This window comes from Homo sapiens, chromosome 15 (assembly GCF_000001405.40).
Source record: "Homo sapiens chromosome 15, GRCh38.p14 Primary Assembly".
Taxonomy (NCBI): Eukaryota; Metazoa; Chordata; class Mammalia; order Primates; family Hominidae; genus Homo; species Homo sapiens.
Window position 1 is genome coordinate 36,485,072 of NC_000015.10, and position 22,390 is coordinate 36,507,461.

The 22,390-nt window shown below is 35.3% G+C and overlaps 1 long non-coding RNA gene across 2 annotated transcripts; it reads left to right on the forward strand.

Annotated features, from left to right (window-relative positions):
- The first annotated feature begins 12 nt into the window (after positions 1-12).
- LOC105370770 (uncharacterized) lies at positions 13-22,138 on the forward strand. 2 transcript variants are annotated; one of them, XR_932113.1, is made up of 4 exons: positions 13-52; positions 5,143-5,272; positions 16,483-16,632; positions 22,063-22,138. It is a non-coding gene; the product is annotated as an uncharacterized LOC105370770 (long non-coding RNA). The 2 variants fall into 2 exon arrangements; XR_932112.2 differs by lacking the exon at positions 22,063-22,138 and having other exon boundaries at positions 16,483-16,958.
- The last annotated feature ends 252 nt before the right edge of the window (positions 22,139-22,390 follow it).

Here is a 22,390-nt window from a genome sequence, read left to right on the forward strand (position 1 = left end):
GAGACAAAAGAGAAACATTAGAGAGAAGAAAAGACAGCCAAAAAAGAAACAGGTGAGAAAAATACATAGGGACAACTAAAATATTTTATGGGTAAGAAAAAGAGTTGAAGAATTTTAAAGATACTCATAACTGAAATAGTGTCTATTCATGTGAGGCAAATCATCAGGAATGTTTCATTTATGGTTATTTCAATGATTTGCACTTAATTCCTATTAAGTTTCCTCCTCCTTTCATCCTTGTCTCAATTTCTTTTGCTTTTATGGAGTGGATCAGTCCGCAGATGAATTTCCCAAATACGGTCAATGGACCATTACTGCTACTAGACTCATGTGGGCTCATGGTCCCCTCTAGCTCATAGGGGCATCGCTCAAGTTTCCAAGTTGTCCTCAGTCCTGGGGCAGAAGGAAACCACTTCCCATTGCAGCCAAAATTTTTCCTATGCTATTTGAATTCGCACTTTAAATAACACAGGTTAATAAGGATATTGAACAACTTGGTCAGTACCAAGGGGCTAACACTGCTATTATTTGCTAAAGGCGATATAATTTGATCTAGTACATTTCCATTTACTTAACTATAGATCCTTATTCTCAGTACTGAATATAAATATCTTCTTGCCTGCTGGGAGCAGTTTTTTTTGAAAAGATGTTATTTTTATCTATTTGAATAACTCAGGAAAAGAATATAGATCATCACCTCAGATTAAAAAAAAAAGAAAAAGGGAAAAGTTTTATTTTCATGAGCCCCACTGACCACATCATTTACTAGTGTTGGCAAGGGTGCAGCACCTTATGAGTAAAAACAGCACTGCTGTCGCCCCTCAAGAGGTTATTTTTTTATATCCAACACATTTGAGGAGTGTTGTTTATTACAGCTTGATAAATATTTTTAAAGACTTACTTTGATGGAAGCTATGCTTCTTCTTTTTTTTTTTTTTTTTTTTTTGACGGTTTTGCTCTTGTTGCCCAGGCTGAAGTGCAATGGCACAATCTTGGCTCACCGCAACCTCCACCTCCCAGATTCAAGCAATTCTCCTGCCTCAGCCTCCTGAGTAGCTGGGATTACAGGCATGCACCACCATGCCCTGCTAATTTTGTATTTTTAGTAGAGATGGGGGTTTCTCCATGTTGGCCAGGCTGGTCTCGAACTCCTGACCTCAGGTGATCTGCCTGCCTTGGCCTCCCAAAGTGCTGGAATTACAGGCGTGAGCCACCGCGCCAGGCCGGAAGCTGTGTTTCTTCTAAGAGAGGTTTATAGGGATATTGTAGCAGCCTAGCATCTGCAAATCAGTAGCATTTATGAGCTGGAAAAAGATAGCCAGGCATGAAGTTGTGCATGACATCCAGTGAAAATGTACCACTTTTGCCATTAAAATTGCACATGGATATCTAAGAGAAGTTATTATTTCTCTTAAAAGCTCTTGTCTTCCTGGTGCATCTGTGAGATACTACTGCACCTCTTGTGTATGTATGCTGCATTCAAGACAACATTATAGGCAGAATCTTAAATTCTCAAAAGATATAAATTGAAGAATAATTATGTACAATTCAAAAGAACTTTTTAACATAAATTTTTTAATAGATGGCTCCCTTTGTGCATTTAAGATATTATTTCGTATACAGAACTGTGGCCTACATGCAATCTATCAAAATCACATCTATTGGGTAAAGTGAGATTTATCGGTAAGTAGTATTTAAAGAATATGATCAGAATGCATGCAACAAAAGTATGAAAATAAATGAAACCACCTTAAAACTTACTCATTTTTGAATTTCAAGATCCTTGGCCAGTATACAAGACAGGCAAGTATTAATTTGAATTTGCACATAGAATTTAAAATAAGAATCAATATTTTCTTCTTGCATAATTGAAAGACTATTCGATTATTAGCTAGATTACTGACCATGGGCATACTGGACATCAGCTCCCAAACCTATTTCTATCCTTTGAGACTAATAAAAGGTTTGGGGCCAGGTGCATTTCAAAAAAAAAAAAAAATTCTAATACACCCATAGTCCTCAAAGAGTGGTTTGCAGACCAACAGCATAAGCATCACCTGAGAATTTGTTAGAAATGCAAATTATCAAGCTCCACCCCATACTTAATAAACAGAGACTCTGGGAGGGTGGTCCAGAAACGTATGGTTTAACAAGCACTCTAGATGATTCTGAAACACACTGAAGTTTAAGAAGTACTGAAGTAAACTATAAAGAGATTCCTAATCTATGCATACATCAGTTTACTGCTTCAGACAGTTATTTTCAAACTCTGTTTTCTGGAATGCTAACTTATGTCCCAAGGTCCTCTGATGCTGAGTTGTGAGGAGTGAAGAAATATAGCCGGGCGCACTTTGGGAGGCCGAGGCGGGCAGATCACGAGGTCAGGAGATCAAGACCATCCTGGCTAACACGATGAAACCCCATCTCGACTAAAAATACAAAAAATTAGCCGGGCGTGGTGGCGGGCGCCAGTAGTCCCAGCTACTTAGGAGGCTGAGGCAGGAGAATGGCGTGAACCCGGGAGGCGGAGCTTGCAGTGAGCCGAGATGGCGCCGCTGCACTCGAGCCTGGGCGACAGAGCAAGACTCCGTCTCAAAATATACATATATATATATGGGAAATCTATTTTAGAAGTATGATTGAAGGTAACTACAGTACTTGCAAGTGCAGATGTGTAGTAGGTAATTGCAATTACATGTCCTGAATACAGGAGTAAGAGCAGGACTGACAGGAGGGACCAGGGAGAAAAGAAAAAAGGAGAGTGGAGTTACGGAGGAGAGGCAGGAAGGAAAGAAAAGGGAGACTGTAGTTTCAGTTAAAAAATAATTTACAAAATATATACAACAATCAAAATGAATGAATTTACCGTGTGGATATTCATAATGCAGCAATATAGAAAATCTTAATAATTTTATATTAAAAATGTCACTAATGTCTACATAAAGCATATTTTTAAAGCTAAAAATAATGAAAATAAAATATAAATATGCTTTTTAGAAATACAGTTAGATGGGATAAAATGATATAAGAAGCAATGCAAGAGAACAATGATCACAGGACTTGGGATGGTGATTGCATTAGGTAAGAAAAGACAGATGAGGGGACTGAGGAGAACCACATAGCCAGACAGAAGTTACTGTCAAGGCCTCAACTTGTGTGTTGAAAAGTGGACTCATGACTGACTGTGTAACACACTGCATGAATGAATACATTTACAGGGCCATAAGTGGATTAATGATGACCAAAGATTATTGGAGTCCAATTTTATGTACCTGATGTCCATTAAAATATTATAAAAATTCTAATAGTGGAATTATGAAAAATGCACTTGAAACTATCAACAAAATCATTCCAAAAATAAGAATTCTTCATTATAATATGTTATTTTAAAGACAATAATAAATAAATTAAATAAACGTCCTTACATAGAAATTTATTATACAGTCTTCATCTATGAGTTGTTTATATTTAACAAAAAAAGGAAATGTAACAAATTCCAGTCCTAGGCAAGATGGACAAAAATACAATGTGTCTTCAAGACCTTGCTCTGCCATTTTTTGGTGCCATTTTGCTTCCATGTTTATCTGATTCCTAGATTTTCAGGGCTCTCATCTACGGGGAATGGAGATAGAGGGGTCACTAAGCTTAGTTACCCTAAATACAATGTATTGGTTTCAGCCACTTCCATCAAACCCAATCTTGTGTGCGTCTATTGCCTGAGGCCCTTCTGCTGCATAACTATGAGTAGCAATTATTCAAATAAGCTAATTAATCCTTACAAACTAACTAGCCACCAGCTACTAGTTAACCCCTCTTCAAGGGATGGCTTAAGCTGGTTGAAATGTATAGCTCCTTTATAGACCCTTATGGATAAACGAATATTTGGAATTTGGAACTCTGTGGCACGCTGTGGAGGAAGATATTTTACAACAGAGAAATTCTTCAAAGCATACCACCTAAGCAGCACTCTCTTATTATATGTAAGATTGACCAGTAGGTAATTTTCATTAATACAGGTTATTTCAAATGTATGTGTATAAGTACTAGGTGGTGATGGAAGCTGAAACGATTCAGTCCAGAAGGCTGGACCATGTTACTACTAAATCACTTAAATTCTGCGGAATAATCACATGCCAGTGGGACCAAAGGCATTTTCCCATATTTACCTCTTTTCTCACTGGGCTGTAATTGAAGGATGCACAGATATCCTGTTTCTTAAGTTACGTGGAAAAGGAGAGGTCATACTAAATGAATAGGCTTGATCTAAACAGACCCCAATTTACATACAACATTATTTTAAAACATAGATTGGTTAGACTTGCATTTTCTTTTTACCCATTGCAATGAAATGAGAAATGGATTCTGTTAAATCAGAGATAGCTACATAGATAGATATAGATGTATAGAAATAGATAGATAGATACAGATGCATTACCTAATAATACGTAAAAATATTTAATTATATTCACTTTCAAAGGAATGCCATCTAAAAATCACAATATTATACTCTTAACTGTCTTGACTCAAATGTCTTTAGACACTTATACCATAAGCATCTCTTTCTCCATTATACATGAGGGCAAATTCCTTCAGGGTAGATAACAAATTTTTTCCTACTTATGAAAACAAAATCACTAAATAGATTTAGTTCAAGATGTTGCAAAAAGGAATTTCTCTTTGCAGTAAAATCAGATAATCAAACTTTTAAGAAAGTTATACATGAGCTAAGAACATATTTATAATATAAATTACTTAGCAAATGGAACCAAGATTTGAAGTGGCATGGAAATGCATTACTTCCACAAGAGGAAAAAAAAAAAAGAAAGGGTGATCATTTATTCACAGGCACAGATTCGAGCCAGATACCCATAAAAAGTTAATGGGGGAACTCACAACCTCGTAAAAAGCTGTAGAAGAGCATCCTGGCCCACATCAAATCACCATACACATCCGCTGTGTGTGGTATATGTTATATGTCTTAGAGGATTGAAATTATGCATATAAAAGGCTACTAGTAGGTGAAATTACAGATATTCACTAGCCTGGATAGCTATCATATTTAAGGCACCTTAATCTCAGCATTTTTGGTGAGAACCCTGTCAAATATAACTCAAGAACTTACTGTTAATGTTTTCTTGTTAGCCCGAATTTATAGGAGATGCAGATGAAATCCGTTCCAGACCTCCAAGGAAAATTAGCCTTTCTCTGACACACTCCTCAAAATCCTTCCAGACTTGACCCACTATTCACCACGGCAGCACATCACCTCCAGGTACCAAAATCTGTATTAGTTATCTATGGCTGAGTAAAAATTTTCCCAAAACAAAACTTGATGACTTAAAACAACATTTGTTCCCACTGGTTCTGTGGTTAGAAAGCCAGGCTTGGCTTAGATGAGTTCCCTAACTCAAGGTTTCTCACAGTGTCACAATCAATGTGCTGTGACGGACATCTCAAGGCTGGACCAAGGGAAAATTGACTTTCAAGCTGGCTCACTGGTGAGTGGCTGGTGGTGGGCCTCAGGTCTTCACTGGCTATTAGCATGGCACCAGTTCCTTGCTATCTTGTTCTGTCTATTGGGCCACTCACAACATGGTATCTTGTTTTTCTCAGGGCAAGGGCTCAGAGAGAGAGACCATGAGAGAGCCAGCAAGATGGAAGTCACCATCTCTTTGTAACCTTATCTTGGCAGTGATATCTCATCACTTTTGCAGTGTTCTCTTCATTACAAGAGGGTCACGGTGTCCAGCTCACATGTGAGTGGAGACACATTACACAAAGCTATGAATTCCAGGAGGGGGGATCTTAAGGAGCCATTGTACAGGCTGCCTATTACAGAGATATTCTTGTACGGTAATGAAGGAATTTGTCACACATTTCTAATTGTCCAGGAATTGTACAAAATTTCTGAATAGATAACATTTGACTGTAGCGTTGTATCTACATCTAGATTGTTAATTAAATCTAAGGCAGTCTATCTATAGAGTTTTAAAGATCATATAAAAGTAGATCTAACTATGTATCGATGGTAAGGGAAGAGGTCCCTGAAGAAATGACTTTTCAACTGTCACCTGAAGGGCAGTGCAGCCAGTGATGACTGCATGGAGGTTAGGATGCAGGAAGGAAGAGCTGAATTTAGAAAACAAGGGAGAAAAGAAGAATCCTATTCAGAACCCTGTGTTTCTTGGCTACTACTTTTTCTTCCTCGTGTTCATCTTTTGTGCCAAGATCTATTAACTTATTGTACTAATTTAAGGGACAGATTTATTCACTTTGATATAGTTGAAGAACCTAAAGTTTAATGAGTTTGGAGCCCCAGTGATTTGAAAAAGAATGTAAGGAAGAAGGAGAATGAGGGAGAGGGAGAGAGAAGGGGGCAGGGGAGGAAGACGAGGGAGAGGAAAAATTGTGAGGCAGAGAACCAAGATAAGGAAAGGATGTTTCAGTGCATTCCTTTGTCTTCACTTCTGAAAGATTCTATATAGGTAGAAGAGAGGGTCTTTGCAAGAACATGCACTAGAGTATTTCTTGGTGAAAAGTCATTTGTGGGGTTAATCAAATTGGAGTTCAAGTCACAGTCAATAATACAAACCCAAACTATCAAATAAGGGAGCTGCTGGAAATCAGAATGAGTACCCCTGAAGAAAGTTAAAAACAAAACAAAACAAACATGAAGACCAGCCACCATCCAGAGTGGAGGGAGAAGGAGGGAAGGTATCTGAGGTGACAAAGGTAGAGGAAAGGTTACATAGGGTGAATAAGGAGAACCCAGTGATTCCAGCTCCTTGAAGATGCAGAGAATGTCTGAGTGCCTTATACATATTTTTCTGTACCAGCTTTTTACATTTCAGATGTTGTTGGCAGAGAATGTCTGAGTGCGTTATACATATTTTTCTGTACCAGCTTTTTACATTTCAGATGTTGTTGGTATTTCTGTCTCCATTTGAATGTAGTTCACAGGTGAAATCCTTCCAGTGCAGGTCACCTACTTACAGAGTTCTGAAATACAAAACCATTTTGGCCCTCGTCTCACTCTACAGACCTGACAATCAGCACTGGTGTGCCAGCTGTAGCCCTGGGTTTCCCCTGGTTATTCTGTTTCTAGCTGGTTCAACTGCTCACACTTCCTAATAACTCCCGTCTCCCACTGGCTTGCCCGTGGACCAACTAATGGAGACAGAAAATATCTACTGCCATGTTACCTAGAGTGTGTCCCATGGAGCAGAAATCCATGTTTTACTGAGCAAAAATAACTTTCAGAGTTAAAAATATTTATTTATAATAGGAGCATTTAATAAGTCAATGCACATGGTTAATTTCAAAGAGGAAAATATAAATGTATTATTTTTCAAAGGTATTTAACATGAGGATACACTTTTTCCTGGTGAACTGATGATGTTGAAAGGATTCTCCTTTTGGAAATGTTGATCATGTATAGCTTTATACTCTCTAAGTGCATTATAGGTTTGGTGATGTTTGATTGACAATGTAAGATTGTAGTGATCTAGAGGGTTACCAGGATGTCTTGGCCAGTAGTTGAAAAGACAGAAATGATATGATAATTTCTTAATCAGCTCTCTTGGACATGAAAATAAAACAGAAGCTTCCCAATCCTGGAAAGTTTTTTCATGATTATGTTGAAGAGGAATTTGTGTAGTCATCTGAGCAACATTTTCTACTCTTTACTTAGTAGATATCTTGGCAATCCTGGTTTCTGATGACAACAGTGCACTTAAACAAAACTTATGAACATATACACATTTCTGGTGTCTTAAATAATAATTTCAGTGGGTCTTATACACAGTTTCACATATGATCACTCACATTAAAAAAAATAGTCATAAAATGACTAGATCTTTATGTATAATATCTAATCCCTTGGTAAACTTCCTTTGGGCCAGAACATTTTGATATAGCTTTTTCTTCATCCCGTGCCAGTACGGTAAATAATTAAACACACTGTCCATTTAATTTCAGAGCATGAATAAATTCTATAATGGGTAGATTGCAAATCTTAGAGTAGGGGTTTTTTCACTGCAAGGACCATGATAATATAGTAAGAAATTTCAAGTCCATAAAATGTCATAGTCCAGAGGAAGAGCAGAGCTTGTCTTCAGAATCTTCTCCTTCAGTACACTTAATGCTATTAAGAATCTTTCAGTGTTTATTTTATTGACTATACTGCTTTCTGGAAAACAACCAATTCACAAAGTAGTTCAAAGGTTAGTTACAAGATAAACTAATAGCTATGCTAAGCTATTACTTTGTAGAGCCAATAAAAAAAAGAAATAAACTATATTATTTTCACAATCTATGTGGTTAGCCCCAACAATGCCAAATCAATAATAAAAGATTTTTATTTAAACTTCCCCCTCCTTTCCCCTCTCTGTTTGTGAAATTTTATCCCAACAGGGAAATCTCCTTGGAATATACCGTAAATATAAAAAAGCAAGAATGGACAATGTAATAAATGTTTTATTTTCGTTTGTTAATAGATGGTGAAGTTCAGCTCACTTGTGGTTTGACCTTATCCTAGTACATAGACAATTTTTCTTAAAAATAGCTTTCCTATAACGCCAGCCATCTCAAACTTCTGCACTCACCCCAGGGAAATAGATCCATCATGCACACACATAGACACACAAAAATAAGCAGTAATTGCAATATAACATTATTTCATAGATCTTTATATGCTACAATTAAAATCATATGGCCCCAAACATTATAGTCACACATATAAGGACCTGATAAAATTCGTGATCCCACATATCCTCTATACTATGGCATCAGATAAAATTTTTTAGATGTTTCACTGCGATATTAATGTTAATAAAATTGCTAATAATAAATTATAAATATTTAATTTTTATTGCAGTGATTTTCATCTAGGGTACACAATGAGATCAGACCCAGGTATTCAGATTGAATAGGTTTGGAGTATGGCTCAGGCAGCTGTATTTTTTGAAGTTCCACAGGTGTTCCTGAAAAAAATTTAAGGCTTAAAACCACCACCTTATTAAACCCTTATTGTGTGGTGAGCCCTGTGTTAAGTAATTTACATTCATTATCTCATTTAATTTTTATGACTATATTGGGTAAGTTTTATTATCTCCATTTCACAGATAAAGATACTGACACTTATAGGTTAAATAATTTGTTCAAGGTTTCCCAGAGCTGAGATTTAAACCTGGATTGTATAAATCTGTGTGAAAGTAAATATATAATTCTGAAATTTTATCATATAATTCCTCACATAAATAAAAATAAGACCAAGAAAAACTAATATGAGTTAACGAAAATTCACATTAAAATAGTAAATGCTCTCCCTAAATTGACTCCTTCTACACACCGTTCCATAATTCACTCTCACTCTCCTCCAATCCATTTTCCATCCTGCAGCACGGTGATCATTTCAGAAGCCAAGCTGATAGAGTTACCGAGGCCCGGAGCTCTCAACTGCATGGGATCATGTTTGGTTTTGCTCCCCATTGCGTCCCTATCCTTGTCATGATACCTAGTGCGTGATGAGAGATGAACAAATATCTGTTAAATAAATAAATGTCACAGATTTATTTCCCAATAATTCTTTCTCAATAATTCTCATGCTCTTGTCTCCCGATTCTTTCAAAGTACTTCCTTGTCCCTAGCTCTAGCTCCTTTCTTGACTCTCAGAACCTCTGCCACTAGGTTCTCGGGTTCTGAGTGAGCACTTGTATCAAGCTTGATTCTCCAATCACAGACTGAACCAACCACTCTCTGATTTGCCCTTGGGGGCTCCAGATTGTTCTCTGAGCAGATCCCAATTCACCATATGGCACAGCAAGTGGGCAATAGAGGGAAGCCGAGACCCAGCACTCCTGTTTCCAGATGGCCATCTAGACCACAGTACAGAACTGTACTTCAGAGCCTCTACCCCGCTGTGCGTTGTGCTGATACAATACTTACATTAGGTTATTCTGTCTCTCTTTACTGAGTGAATTCCAGAAATGGGATGAGAGAAAGCAAAAGCCCTTTATTTACACGGTTGTGAGTGCAGGCGAGGCTGGAGAAAACAGTGATATAAGAGATCTTTTTATCAGACTGATTTAAAGACAACCACGTAAATTACCTAAACTGTTGTCATAGGGATATTAAATGTGAACCCAAGTTCACGGAGCACGGTAAAGAATTAGTCCTGTGTGACTCTGCCTACCTTTCAAGAGAAACAATAGCTTATCCTCAGAACTTGGAGAGACACATCAACAAATGTCTCACAATTAATACATTTGGCCTAATGTTTTAGGACAAGACAAATATTTAATTTGAACAAGAGATGTAAAAGTTAGGAATTACTCTAGTGAAAACAGATTTGGATGATGATGGACAATATTAGTGTGGTGCCTCAACAAAGACTTTTGCCTCTTGCATACTATTATGATTGCACGGTAATCTTACCCAGCTAGTGTTTTCTTAATGTCCTGGGGAGCCTGATCATTGTAAATTACCTGTGACATCTCATTAATCCTCTTTTTCCTCACAAACGCATAATTAATGGTAACATTGACAATAATACACAAATTAGCTAAGTGACGCTTTATGGTGTTGGTTTTGATTAACGTCAGGAACCCAAAAATGACGTTAATGTAATGCAGATCCCAAAAGGCAGTCTGCACTTTGACCCCAGACATACATTTTGTTTGCACCATCACCAAGATTAATCCTCCTCTGGATGAAGATGAGACAAAACTCTGGCCACTGGCAGTGTGTGCTAGGCTGTCGGAAAACAAACCGCCTCAACTGCATTTGTTTAAGAAGGAAATCTTAATGCACAGAAAACAACGGCGTAGTGTCATTTCCTATTGTCTAGTTAGGACAAAGATAAATGAGCAACTGTCATGATTCAGATCAACTGCTTCCCTGCTAACTTCTATTATTTGCTTATTTATGGACTGGTGTTTAATTAAAAGTATACCTAGATATATAAACCACATGATAAAATAATTGAAATTCCTTTTGCTTTCACTATAAATGGTTTTTGGAAATCAAGACTGATTTTTATATGCATTTCAACCTGCAGGACCTTTAAATGATAAATTCTTATTAACCACAAGAGGGTAAACAAAATCAATGCCTGAGAAAATATGCTTTGTCTCTGACTTGAGTAACAAAGTAAAAACACTAGAAGAAATTTGGATAAAGTTCTTAACTTCATCAGTGAGGCATCCTTGTAGACTCTGAGAAAGCTGATATAGAGACGCTTTTTCCAAATTATAAAAGAGACAAACACTTTAAGTAAGTCACAGTAGCATCTACTGCTGCATCATCAACTTCTAAATTCAGGCTTAATCATGTGACTTTAATATAAACATGAACAGTTTCTTAATTACGATTTTCACAAATCTGAGTTAAGTACTGAATCTTTTTAACACTCCAAAGAGGTAGCATATGCTAATTTTTTAAAGATGCAACCTTCTATTTTCTTCGTAACAATTACTTATAGCTGAAACATCTTAATGGTATACATTTTTTAAAAATAATAGTCTCGTATTTGATTAATTTAACATCTACTTATTTAGGCTATTTTTCAAAATGTTACTGCTACTAAACCACAGCCCTGGCTAATGATCGTATTCCACTTCAAAAACGGAGTAAGAAGAAAAGCCATATTTTCATGCTTTGTTCTATTTTTCACACAAATAACTATCATTTATGGACAAAAATATGCAACACGTAAAGTGATGTCATAAAAATTTGAAATAAATCCACCAAAATTGGAAAGCAAAGATCACCGAAATTATGAAACATTGTGGGTATATTTGATAAAAAGAAGATACTATTTTTGATTAAAAAAAGAGAATATCTTAAAAAGAAGATTTTGGTTGCTGTGGGTATGTATTTTCAATTGTGAGGCCTCTAATCCACCTCTCCCCCAAAATAAGAAAACAGACTGCCTTACAACTGCTTGTCATAGCAGTTTAATTTTGAAAAATGCCTCATCTGTCCCTGCTTGCAATATATTGTCTTACGACTACGTTTACCTTTTTTATTTTTTGGGGGGGGGTTATTGAAAGTTACAAGGAGCAAAATAATGTTTTTAGAGAATTTTTTTCTTCTCTTGTTTAAATATTATTTTAAAATCAAAAGCAGCTCATTTTTAAATCGACATATTAAGTGTTAGCTGCACCAACTTTCACCAGCACACAAACCCATTGTAAAGCAAACTGGAATTTAAGGGGCAATGGGGAGTCCTACAGAGGTCATATTTTCACTCTGCCTAACTAAACCATAAATCAAGATTACAACAATAAATTATTTTTTATTATTTTGGCAGGAATAAGTATAGCCTTGAATTTTGAAAGATATTTGGGCTTAATTCATATGTTAAATAGGTCGGGATAAACCAATGCTAGAAGAAATTGAAACTGGCCCAATATTATACAGAAACCCAAATTAGGCACTCACCACCAAACTAATTAGTAATTGATAAATTTACAATAGTAATGTAATTTCTTTACACTGCAAAGCCAAAGAAATAGGATAATTGAAAGCTTCAAATCTAAAAAAAAAAAAATTGACAATCTTTTAATCAAAGGCATTGTTTACAACGTGGCTTTTAGGTAGCTGCAGTAACATCTTTAACTGGTTAAAAACACTCATCAAGCTATAAAACTACTTTCTTAGATGTCTATAGCAAACTGTTTGAAACCTCCCAAAGTGCCTTAATTTATATTTTTTCAGCAGCTACAATGAATGTTACTTTCTTCCAGTCCAAATGTATCATTTTCACTTTTCAACTTATTCAAGTTCATAGAGAGCAACCTATGAAGCCACAATTTTATAGAAATCTATTTTTCAGGTTTAAATGTGGTACCCTGACTTTTCATAAGCTCCAATAGTTGTGCCAAGTTACTTTTTTGTTGTTGTTCTAAGGAAAGATTTTATGCAAATAAAGAGACTGCTCTGTGGGAAAGCATGTTTTCTTAAGTATTTAATCGGACATTTCCACACCACAACACTTTGTAGACATGTTTTTGCTTTGAAAACATAATCTTATCAGGGGTGGTTGGTGTACAATTCTTGTCTGTTTTCTTACCTTTGAATTTGAGCTCTATTTATAAGGCTCAACTAAATGATGTCTGCAGCTAAGGCATTTCCTTACTAGGGAGTTTTACACGAACACAATTAATATGAAAGCACACAACGCATTGAACAGGGTGTCAATTTAGGTTTCCGGTACAATGTAACCTTATCGAAGTGTTCCCGTTTACATAGAAGAAAACAAATATGATAAAGCGGTTAAATATGTATCTGTCTTAGATTTCTAACATTTTCCTCTCGATATATCTTTTCGGAATAAACAAAGGGAAGTGAATTCTTCATTCCTTATTTGTACAAACAAGTGAAATTGGGTCCCCTTCACGATGGAAGGCACTGGCCTTTCTCCTCACATGGAACAAACTGCTAGAGAAACTTGGTTTACACAAAATGGAAACATTTAATCCTTGCATCTATATTTCAAAATAGTACATGGTTTTTCCATAAATCTATGTGTGATGACATATTTCGTAACATTACATAAGGCTTTCCATGCATTTTTATTCATGGGAGAATGGCTTGCAGAAAATCACAACATTGTACTATGCTTCTCCAGCAAGTTAATTTTCACTTTACTGCGAATATACAGTTTATGGAAAAATAATAGTTATTTAAGTGTAGCGTACTTACCTGTTGCTGTGGGAAAATTCCTACCATTAAAAATGTGCTTTCACTTCAGTTATTATTATAATGTAGGCTATACCAATGCCTGATGATTTTTATAAACAGAACCTATAAATCTGCATTTTGGTTCAGGGCTGTACTATTTAGACAAATGAAAATGAAGCAGCATGACATGAAGTCCAAAGGAACGTTCTTATACATGCCTCAACTTTGGTTTTTTGGTAACTGCCCTTTGGAGACTATCCTTTATTAAGGATCTTAATGAGGGTTCTGCCTGTATTTTTCTCCCAAGAATGTCAAATAAGGTTCGAAAGCAAATGTAAACTGTAATACAAGTGACACACACTAAAAATAGCCCTATAAATCTGTTCATTTTGTTTAGATAGTCTCCAGAGTTGTAAAAAGTAGGACTGTTCAGCTTTATTATTTGTTTTGGAAAACCTAATTCTGTAGAGAATAGGCCACTGATAATGCTATATTACTTTAGAGGAGATTTATTAAGACTGTCTCTAGATTTAATTTTTTTAAAATAAAGAAACTCTTTCCTGTTTTTATTTTCCAAATAATCTACAAGATAATTAACTGAATATAATCTATAATATTAAATAAATTTTCCCATTTACTCATTAGAATTAAGATTTTGAAAGGCACATTTATCTAAACTAAAATTAATTAAAATTTCAAATAGAATTCTCATTCCTATTAACCTGTCAAATATGTTGCGTTCAATGTTTCCAGTAACAGAACAACAATATTTATTATCTAACGTACCATAAGTTTTTAAAAATAACTCCAGGAGAACATTTTTGGAACACTTACAATCTGAATAGACAACTAAAAAAATCAGACATTTCTGTGTGAAAAATAGCTATTGTAAATTAAAATGGTTGAGGGAGAATATATTTTTAGAAAACGATGTCATTTGAATTTGAGAAATTGGATGTCAGGGCAAAATTGAAAGAGGGGGTGTGAGCTCCATCATTTGTTAAGGAGGTTTAGAAAAGTAGTTTAGAAGAGGTTTCTCTTGAGAAAAAGTTTAGGAGGTTTAAACCTTTCCTTTACCCTTTCCCCATGGTAGTCAGTAGGATCTCTTGGATTGGCTGGATGACTTTGCACTCAAGCCAAGATTGATTGCAATCTAGAGCTTTGTTTTTTGATATCTTATCCCAATGGAGGCATGTATAAACAGACAAAATGACTAAATTGGGCAGCAATCTGACCTTTTAGATGAGAGGCAGTTCAAAAACTACATCAAATTCTCTTTGAAGAAACAAGAACATTGTCACTGAACAGAACCTTACAGCTTAGTTCTTTTTTCTTCCACACGGCCGAACTGTACCCTTGAATTATTAAGAAATAGGAGTTTCCAGGGCTTTGGGCCTCCTTCCCACCCCAACCCCTCCCAAACTCCCTTCCCCCTGAGTTCAGAAAGAAAAAAGTGTTGCTATTCATATGATAATTGTCAAAACCATGACGAGGGCCAAACAAGACAGTGCCAAGAAATCATTAGTTCAGTATACATCTCAGATTTCTGTAATGTTCAGTTAATGGGCTGGATTTCACCAGACCTTTTTTCTTGTAAATTCTCCTTAGTTTGCTTTTAGCCATCTTTAAAAAGAATTGTGTAAGCCAGGTTTTTAGTAATCCTTTTTCAGTGAAAGTTAATTTTTTTAAAAACTGAAATATTGTTTTTGACAAGTTCTTACATTCCATTTTTATTATATACATTTTGAAATTACTAATTCAGAAAACTAAAATGCTGTACTGAAAAATTTCCCAACACCATATTAGAGCTGAACATTGTAGCTCAAGCACATAAAACACAGAAGGGAGATAAAATAACCAAAATATCTTTAAATTTAAAAAAAATTCTGATTCATGTAGAAAGAAGGATAACATACAGGAAATTTTGAGAACATTTTTTATTCATTCAGGTAAATGTTGATGCAAGTCTGTTTTTACATATATGAGTTAATCTAATGCTTCAGATATTATAATGTCATTCTATCTTTTTAAATATTTTATAGAAATATGTCACCATGGAAAAAGCAAATATTACAATGAGAGTAACCAACCAGAATTTTGAAAAGCAAAGGAAAAGGAATAGTGCAATTTTTGTTTGTAAACCTATTGACATAAATAGTCTGACCTGTCACAAATTACCTTTTAGCTACCGTATGTTATGTATAGAACAGTCAAAACTGATAACATTTTGCTTTCATCAGTTTTGTGTTAGGATTCTGAAAACCTGAAATGTTGATTGTGGCGAAATAATCAAATGTATCTACATAGCATGCCTCCCCTGGACATGTTTACTCTGGTAAGAATTCATAAATGCAAAACTAGGCTAAAGAACAGGGTTACTGCTTCTAAAAGGCAGCTCATGGGTTGTTTAATAGTATTTTAAATGTCTGCTAATCGGAGTCACAAGAAAGCACAGAAGAGTAGAGAATTGGTTCCAGGGCAATCACACAGTAGTCAAGAAGATTAACATGCCACTAGGGGACAGCAGAAAGTCACAGAATGAGGTAGTGCCAGAGAGACCAGAACAAAAGGCTTTTCTTTGTCGAGAGACAGACAGAGAGAGAGACTAAGATGTATTTCCAAACTAAAATCATTTTACAAGTATTCGTAAGTGTATTTTTAAAAAGCAGTAGAAAAATATTTTCAAGGTTCTATTTTTAGATTGCTAAGCTCTGTGTACCAGAATGTTATAAAATATACATAACTATCATCTTGGCAAAATAAATTCAAATATGGGCTATTCTATTTTCTGCTTTTTAGAGTGAAGAAAAGTTTCAAACATCAGGAAAAAAAAACAGCGCATTGCAAAACATATTAGACTGAACCTATCGATGACAAAATGCAACTGTGAAATGTTGAGACTGTTCATCAAAGCTGGACATAAGCAGGATCCATTCCATTTTCAAAGAGGTAGAGTGACTGTCTGAAAAAACAAAAGTAACTAGAAAATTGATAAAACTGACCGAGTCATCTATGCAGAAAGTTGCTTATATAGACCCATAATATAATACATTTGTGATCATAAAGCACAATTTTGATTTTGGAATTGCAATCATAGTTCAAGGCGAGTAACAATTTTAACCTCTGTAATTATTTTAAAAGCTAATGCACATCCTTTAACAATTCAGTTTGCTGAAATGGTCACTTATGCTTTTGTATTTATACACCTAAACATCATCTAAGTGCAATAGATTTTACAATCCCAGGTGATTTACCTAGACTGCAACATTGTTATCAAATGATAACCTTCTAAGTTTCTTGAATTCATGGGTCATATTCCTTTGTTTGAGCTGCATAAAACCTATATCACTGAGCAGTCACTTAATATCTCTGATGATAAGGATGTTAATGAGTTTTGTAATACTTTTCTGAGTTATTTCTCTGTTACAATATTGCTTCTTGAATGCTATACATTGTTTATTCTTGTTTTATGTGGTACACATGTATTATTTACTTACCAGATAATCGCAGTTTTCCCGTCATAAAAATCAAAAGGTCGAAAAAAATTTGAGAAATTTGAGAAAAATATTTGAGAAATTTAGTTCATTTTCCCATTGTTTTTTATTTCATATAAAACTGGGAATAAAATATGGCAAAGCTGTTTATTTGCCCTATTTTTATTTTTTGGCCCTATTTTTCATATTTAAGGATTTCAATTGCACAGTATTTTTTAAAATTTCTGGTGGCTGTTATGTATTGTACATAAAAATATTTAGAATTCTTTTCTTACCACCAAAATATAATTTTGATTAAAATTATAAATGTATTCTAAATTCATGGCATCCTTTCCATTTTCATTATTTTGTCTTTATTTAATCCCTTTCTTTTTTCTGTAATATGTTTTCCTTTCTGATCAAGTATCCTGACTCTTATGCACTTCTGGAATTTAGCACTTCTTTCATCTCAGATGGACTTTATCCCTAGATCCACAATTATTTATTTTTTGTTTCTTTTCCTGGATGGGTTCCTGTGTTATAGATTGCATTCTCTCTTTTTGTTCTGCAATTTGGACTAGCAGACTACAAAAATAATAATTCAACACATGTTAAATCCTGAAGATCCTCTCCCTGCACGGTGGAGAAGATCTTCCTAATATCTTGCTGAAATCCCCATCTACCACATTTAAGACCCTGCTGTCTGGTACTATTCTCAGAGGAAACAGAGACCAGCTGTTCACCTCTACCTGCAAAGGACTGTGTTCCTTCATGAACTTGAAGACTGCGATTAATTCCTTCCAAGTCTTTTCTTCTCCAGACTAAACAAGGCCAGTTTCTTTACCCTTGTTTTATTGGTACTATTTTCCAACACTTGAGTTATTTTGCTGCTTCCTCTGGACCTACTCCAAATTCTGCACATTTGGCATAAATGTTAGGATGCTAAAGGACACAACAGGATAACAAAGAACAGATTAATAATGCATATAAAGTGAATGATTCTATTTCCTAAATTCTCAATGACTATCTGTCAGTATTTTGTCTTTGAACAATCAGACTATGCTTTTAACCCACAATTAGTTTATGATCCACTGTGGAACCTTGTTATCTTTTTTCTTACTTATAATTCAATAAATCTTTCATTTTTTATATTTAAAGTTTATTTTTTTCTCTCCACCAGTTAATTGCTTATGCTTTTTTCCAATAACCCTCTCTATAATTTTTTTCACTTGTTCCCTCTAACTTTTCCTTTTTACGCTGGTTGTTCTCTCTTGCTTAAATTCCCATCACAATGTCTTGGACAGTATCAGAACCTCAACAATTTCTTCAGAATACAAAGATAATTGAAATAATTATATGTCCATTTAATTTCCTTAAGCAAACTCTTAATAAATAAGATTAGTGAGTTTTTACAAAGAAAAAATGTCTTTAAAATATTAACATTACCCTAAAAGGTAGATATTTTTTTCTTCCAAACAAGAAGACTTGGCTAATGTGGCAGGTATGTGTGAAAGAGAGAGAAGAGAGGTGTTGGTGTATGGAAGTAAGCATAAGTTAACTTCTAGAAAACTGGAAGCATTTGGCCTTCACCCTTTTCTTACCTCGGAAAGGACCTGAGATTTACGATTTTCCTCACAACTGCACCCTCTGTCATGTCTAATACTTTATCCGTCCACATAGAGAGATAGAGAAGATAGATATGAATAAAATTATATCTAATCTCTCTCATCCTTAACACCTGCAAATTACAGTACTCCTTCAGTACTTTCACTTTGTAGAGTAGGTTATTCCACTTAGAAATTATATTAAATTTTTAGTCTGCTGAGATAAAGCTATGGACGAATTCTGCAAATTCTGAGTAGTTCCCACTGTGGGCTATTGATGACTAAACTGCCCTGTAATAATAACAATGAACGAAGGAGAGAGAAAAGCAAAATCACTATGTAATTCTACTATTGCCTTAATACTGTCCTGTGAAAGCAAAGAAAAAATTGGAAGAGAAAATTATGATTTAATAAACTGATTTTCAATACCAATCATCAAATTTTAAAAAATAGCCTTACTTTGTGCAAAATGATCATTATTTGTGCTATCTTGCTTACTTAAAAAAAGAGATCACAAGAAATATATATACATTTTTTTTTTAAGACGGAGTCTTGCTCTTGTCACCCAAGCTGGAGTGCAATGGCGCGATTTCGGCTCACTGCAACCTCCACTTCCTGGGTTCAAGCGATTCTCCTGCCTCAGCCTCCTGAGTAGCTGGGATTACCGATGTATGCCACCATACCCAGCTAATTTTTGTATTTTTAGTAAAGACGGGGTTTCACCATGTTGTCCAGTCTGGTCTTGAACTTCTGACCTCGCGTGATCCCACCCGCCTCGGCCTCCCAAAGTGCTGGGATTACAGGCGTGAGCCACTGTGCCCGGCCAGAGATCACAAGAAATATTATGAAACTGCTTGAACTCTTAGTATCTATTCATCTCCAAACTAACCTTTACACAAAAAGAGGGGGAGGGGAATAAAATAAAACAAATTAAACCTTCAAGTTTTTATTCTCACCCAGATGTTAGCCTGTAAAGAAGAGACACTCTTGCATAAACAGTGCAGGGCTCTATTGCTTCCAGCACCTGCATCCAAGTTGCTGAAATTGTAAAGAAAAGTTCCCTCTATTTAACCCATGTCTAGTGCGTATGAGTCCTTCTATGGTTTCTTAAACCCATTAGTTGTCTTCATGAAGAAAATAATACCTTCAAGCAAGAAGACAACAGAAAAGTTAAGGTCTTCTTTTGTTTATATCATTTCAGTTTACAAAAAATAAAAAGTAAAATAAATAAAACTTGGAACTGTTCTATAACTGTCATTTAGCATATGGTAAATTTGACCAGACTGTTTACTTACACAGGAGTCTTATCTGAAGGTCAGAAATGTAATCAAAAACTAACCAAATACAAAGAGAAACTAGTGAAAGATGAAATAACCCAAACTCAAAATGCCCTACTTAAATCACTTAGGGTTTTTGTTTGAGGACTTTTAAAATTATTATTTCTCTGGAAATAATTAGAGCTTTATTAAAAAAAAAGACATCAAAAAGCCCCCACAAGGAAATCTATAGAATATTTTTAAATGAAAAGAAGTGTGCAAGAACACTGTATATTCACTGCAGTGACTATGACATGTATCTTCCTAAACACCTTCGTTTACACGTGGCATATGTAGAAGAAAAGTGAAATTGAGCCTCTGACTTATTGTTCCTTGAATGGATAGACCCCCTTGGCTACAGACATCAGAGACCCTTTGCTACATTCATTTCTTTCCCTCTATCTAGCAACTTCTTTTCTGATCAGCCTTCTGAATATTATGCCTTTCTCTCTCACTCTCTACAGTCTATCTTTCTTCTTTGTCTGCGTTCAGTAAATCTCATTTTTCCTATGTAACAATTATATTTATGATGTTAAATTATATTTATACTTTACCTTAATGATGTCCCTTCTTTATTTTCCCCTCCCTAAATCATTTCTATCTTTCTTTCCAACTCTCTTCTCCTTCAGGCCCTCTCTGTCCCCTCCAGCCTTTTCCCTTATTCTGTCACCTCAGGTTGCTGCTGAGCTTCCTACTCTTTTTCCTGTCACTCTGTACAATCTTCAGTAGCAAATCTCTTTCCCACTTCTCTTTCCATGTGGTCTGTGTATGCATTTGGGAAAGATGACTTACGCATGGGGTCAGGGTGAGGGAAAGAGGTCTTAATACGCAAGAAAATGCAGAATGTCTCAGGAAGAGCAAACTTTTCGAAATATTTTATTTTAATGTAGACCACCAGCAGATGCAAAAATTAAAAAGTAATATCCAAAAAATATGATCCCTCTGTATTTCACACCCAATGCCTTTATATCCTGCAGGTGTTCCTCAAGACCAACTTGAAGCACAGTCATTTAAAAGATCTCTTATTATTTTATTTTTACTTTTCATTTCCCAAAAGGTTTTAAATAAATTCTTTAGTACAGTTTACTAAAAGGAAGACAGATGCATTTTTCTCCTGAATCTGAATGCTTCGGTTTGGCTTTGAGAAAATGTGTTTAACAAGTCAGTTCTTAGCAGAGACCCAGTTTAAGTAACCTATGGCGCATTTTATTTGTAAATAATTTATTATTGAATACAAATGCCCATACTTTCTAACATGTCAAAATCAACAGGAAGCAGGACTTCTTGTAAGGGTTTACCACTAGTCCTACTAAATTTTTGTCAAGATTGTGTGAAAAGCATACTTAATATTTAATTTAGCTTATAACACCGAAAGGAGCTGCCATCCACCTTAGTGGAATAATATGCAAGGCTGAACTGTGTCTTTCTCATTTGGGGAGAAGAAAAATGCTTAAATATCCCACCAGTGATGCATCTGAGAAACTGGATAACTTTTAGTGTTTTCTGTAATCCCACTTTTAAAATAAATAATGAGTGTTTATATGTGTATTCAGCAATGGCTATGATATCGCCGTCACCCCCTACTAAAAAAGATTCTCTGGTGGGTTTTCAATCTTAAAATCTTCTCACTACATTCTAGGAAACTGGAGAACAATAGGTGGGTTTCATATAGCACCTGATTGATATTTCCAGGGTGTGAAAACCTCTACTGGCAGATTAGCCTGATATTGCATATTCAAACACATACAATGCTATATTTGTCATTGCTATTGACCTTTATCTCTCCAGTTTCCTGACAACCTTCTACAGTTATTGACATTACAAATACCAGCAACAACGTGCAGGGCAAAGTATAACCTTTCATTTACCTTCATGTCCCTCAAATGACTTGTGTAGGTAGTTTCAACAAAAGCGGCAAACAATGATACTGTTGATTTTTTTTTCCTTAACTTGCTAAAATGTTTTCCATTTTCCTCTTGTTCTCAGAAAATCATGCCAATAACTCTCTACAAAGGAAACGATTTCAAATGAATACAGGTAATTAGAAGTGTCAGGAAATCAGCAAAGTAGGGTGTCTGCCATCATTTCTGTGGAAAGAGTGCCAGATTCTCTTTCAAAAAGGTCTTTGTCATTTTTTAATAGAAGGTAATTAATGTAGACTACAGTAAAATGTGCAGGATTCCAGTTGCTTGTCTTTCTTGCCATAGAAATGGGACCATAAAGATGTTTTGATATCTAGAAACAATCTTCTGAGGTTATTTCAAAATGACTTTTAATTACAAAAGTAGTCCTTTTAGTCTTTTCATTTGAAAAG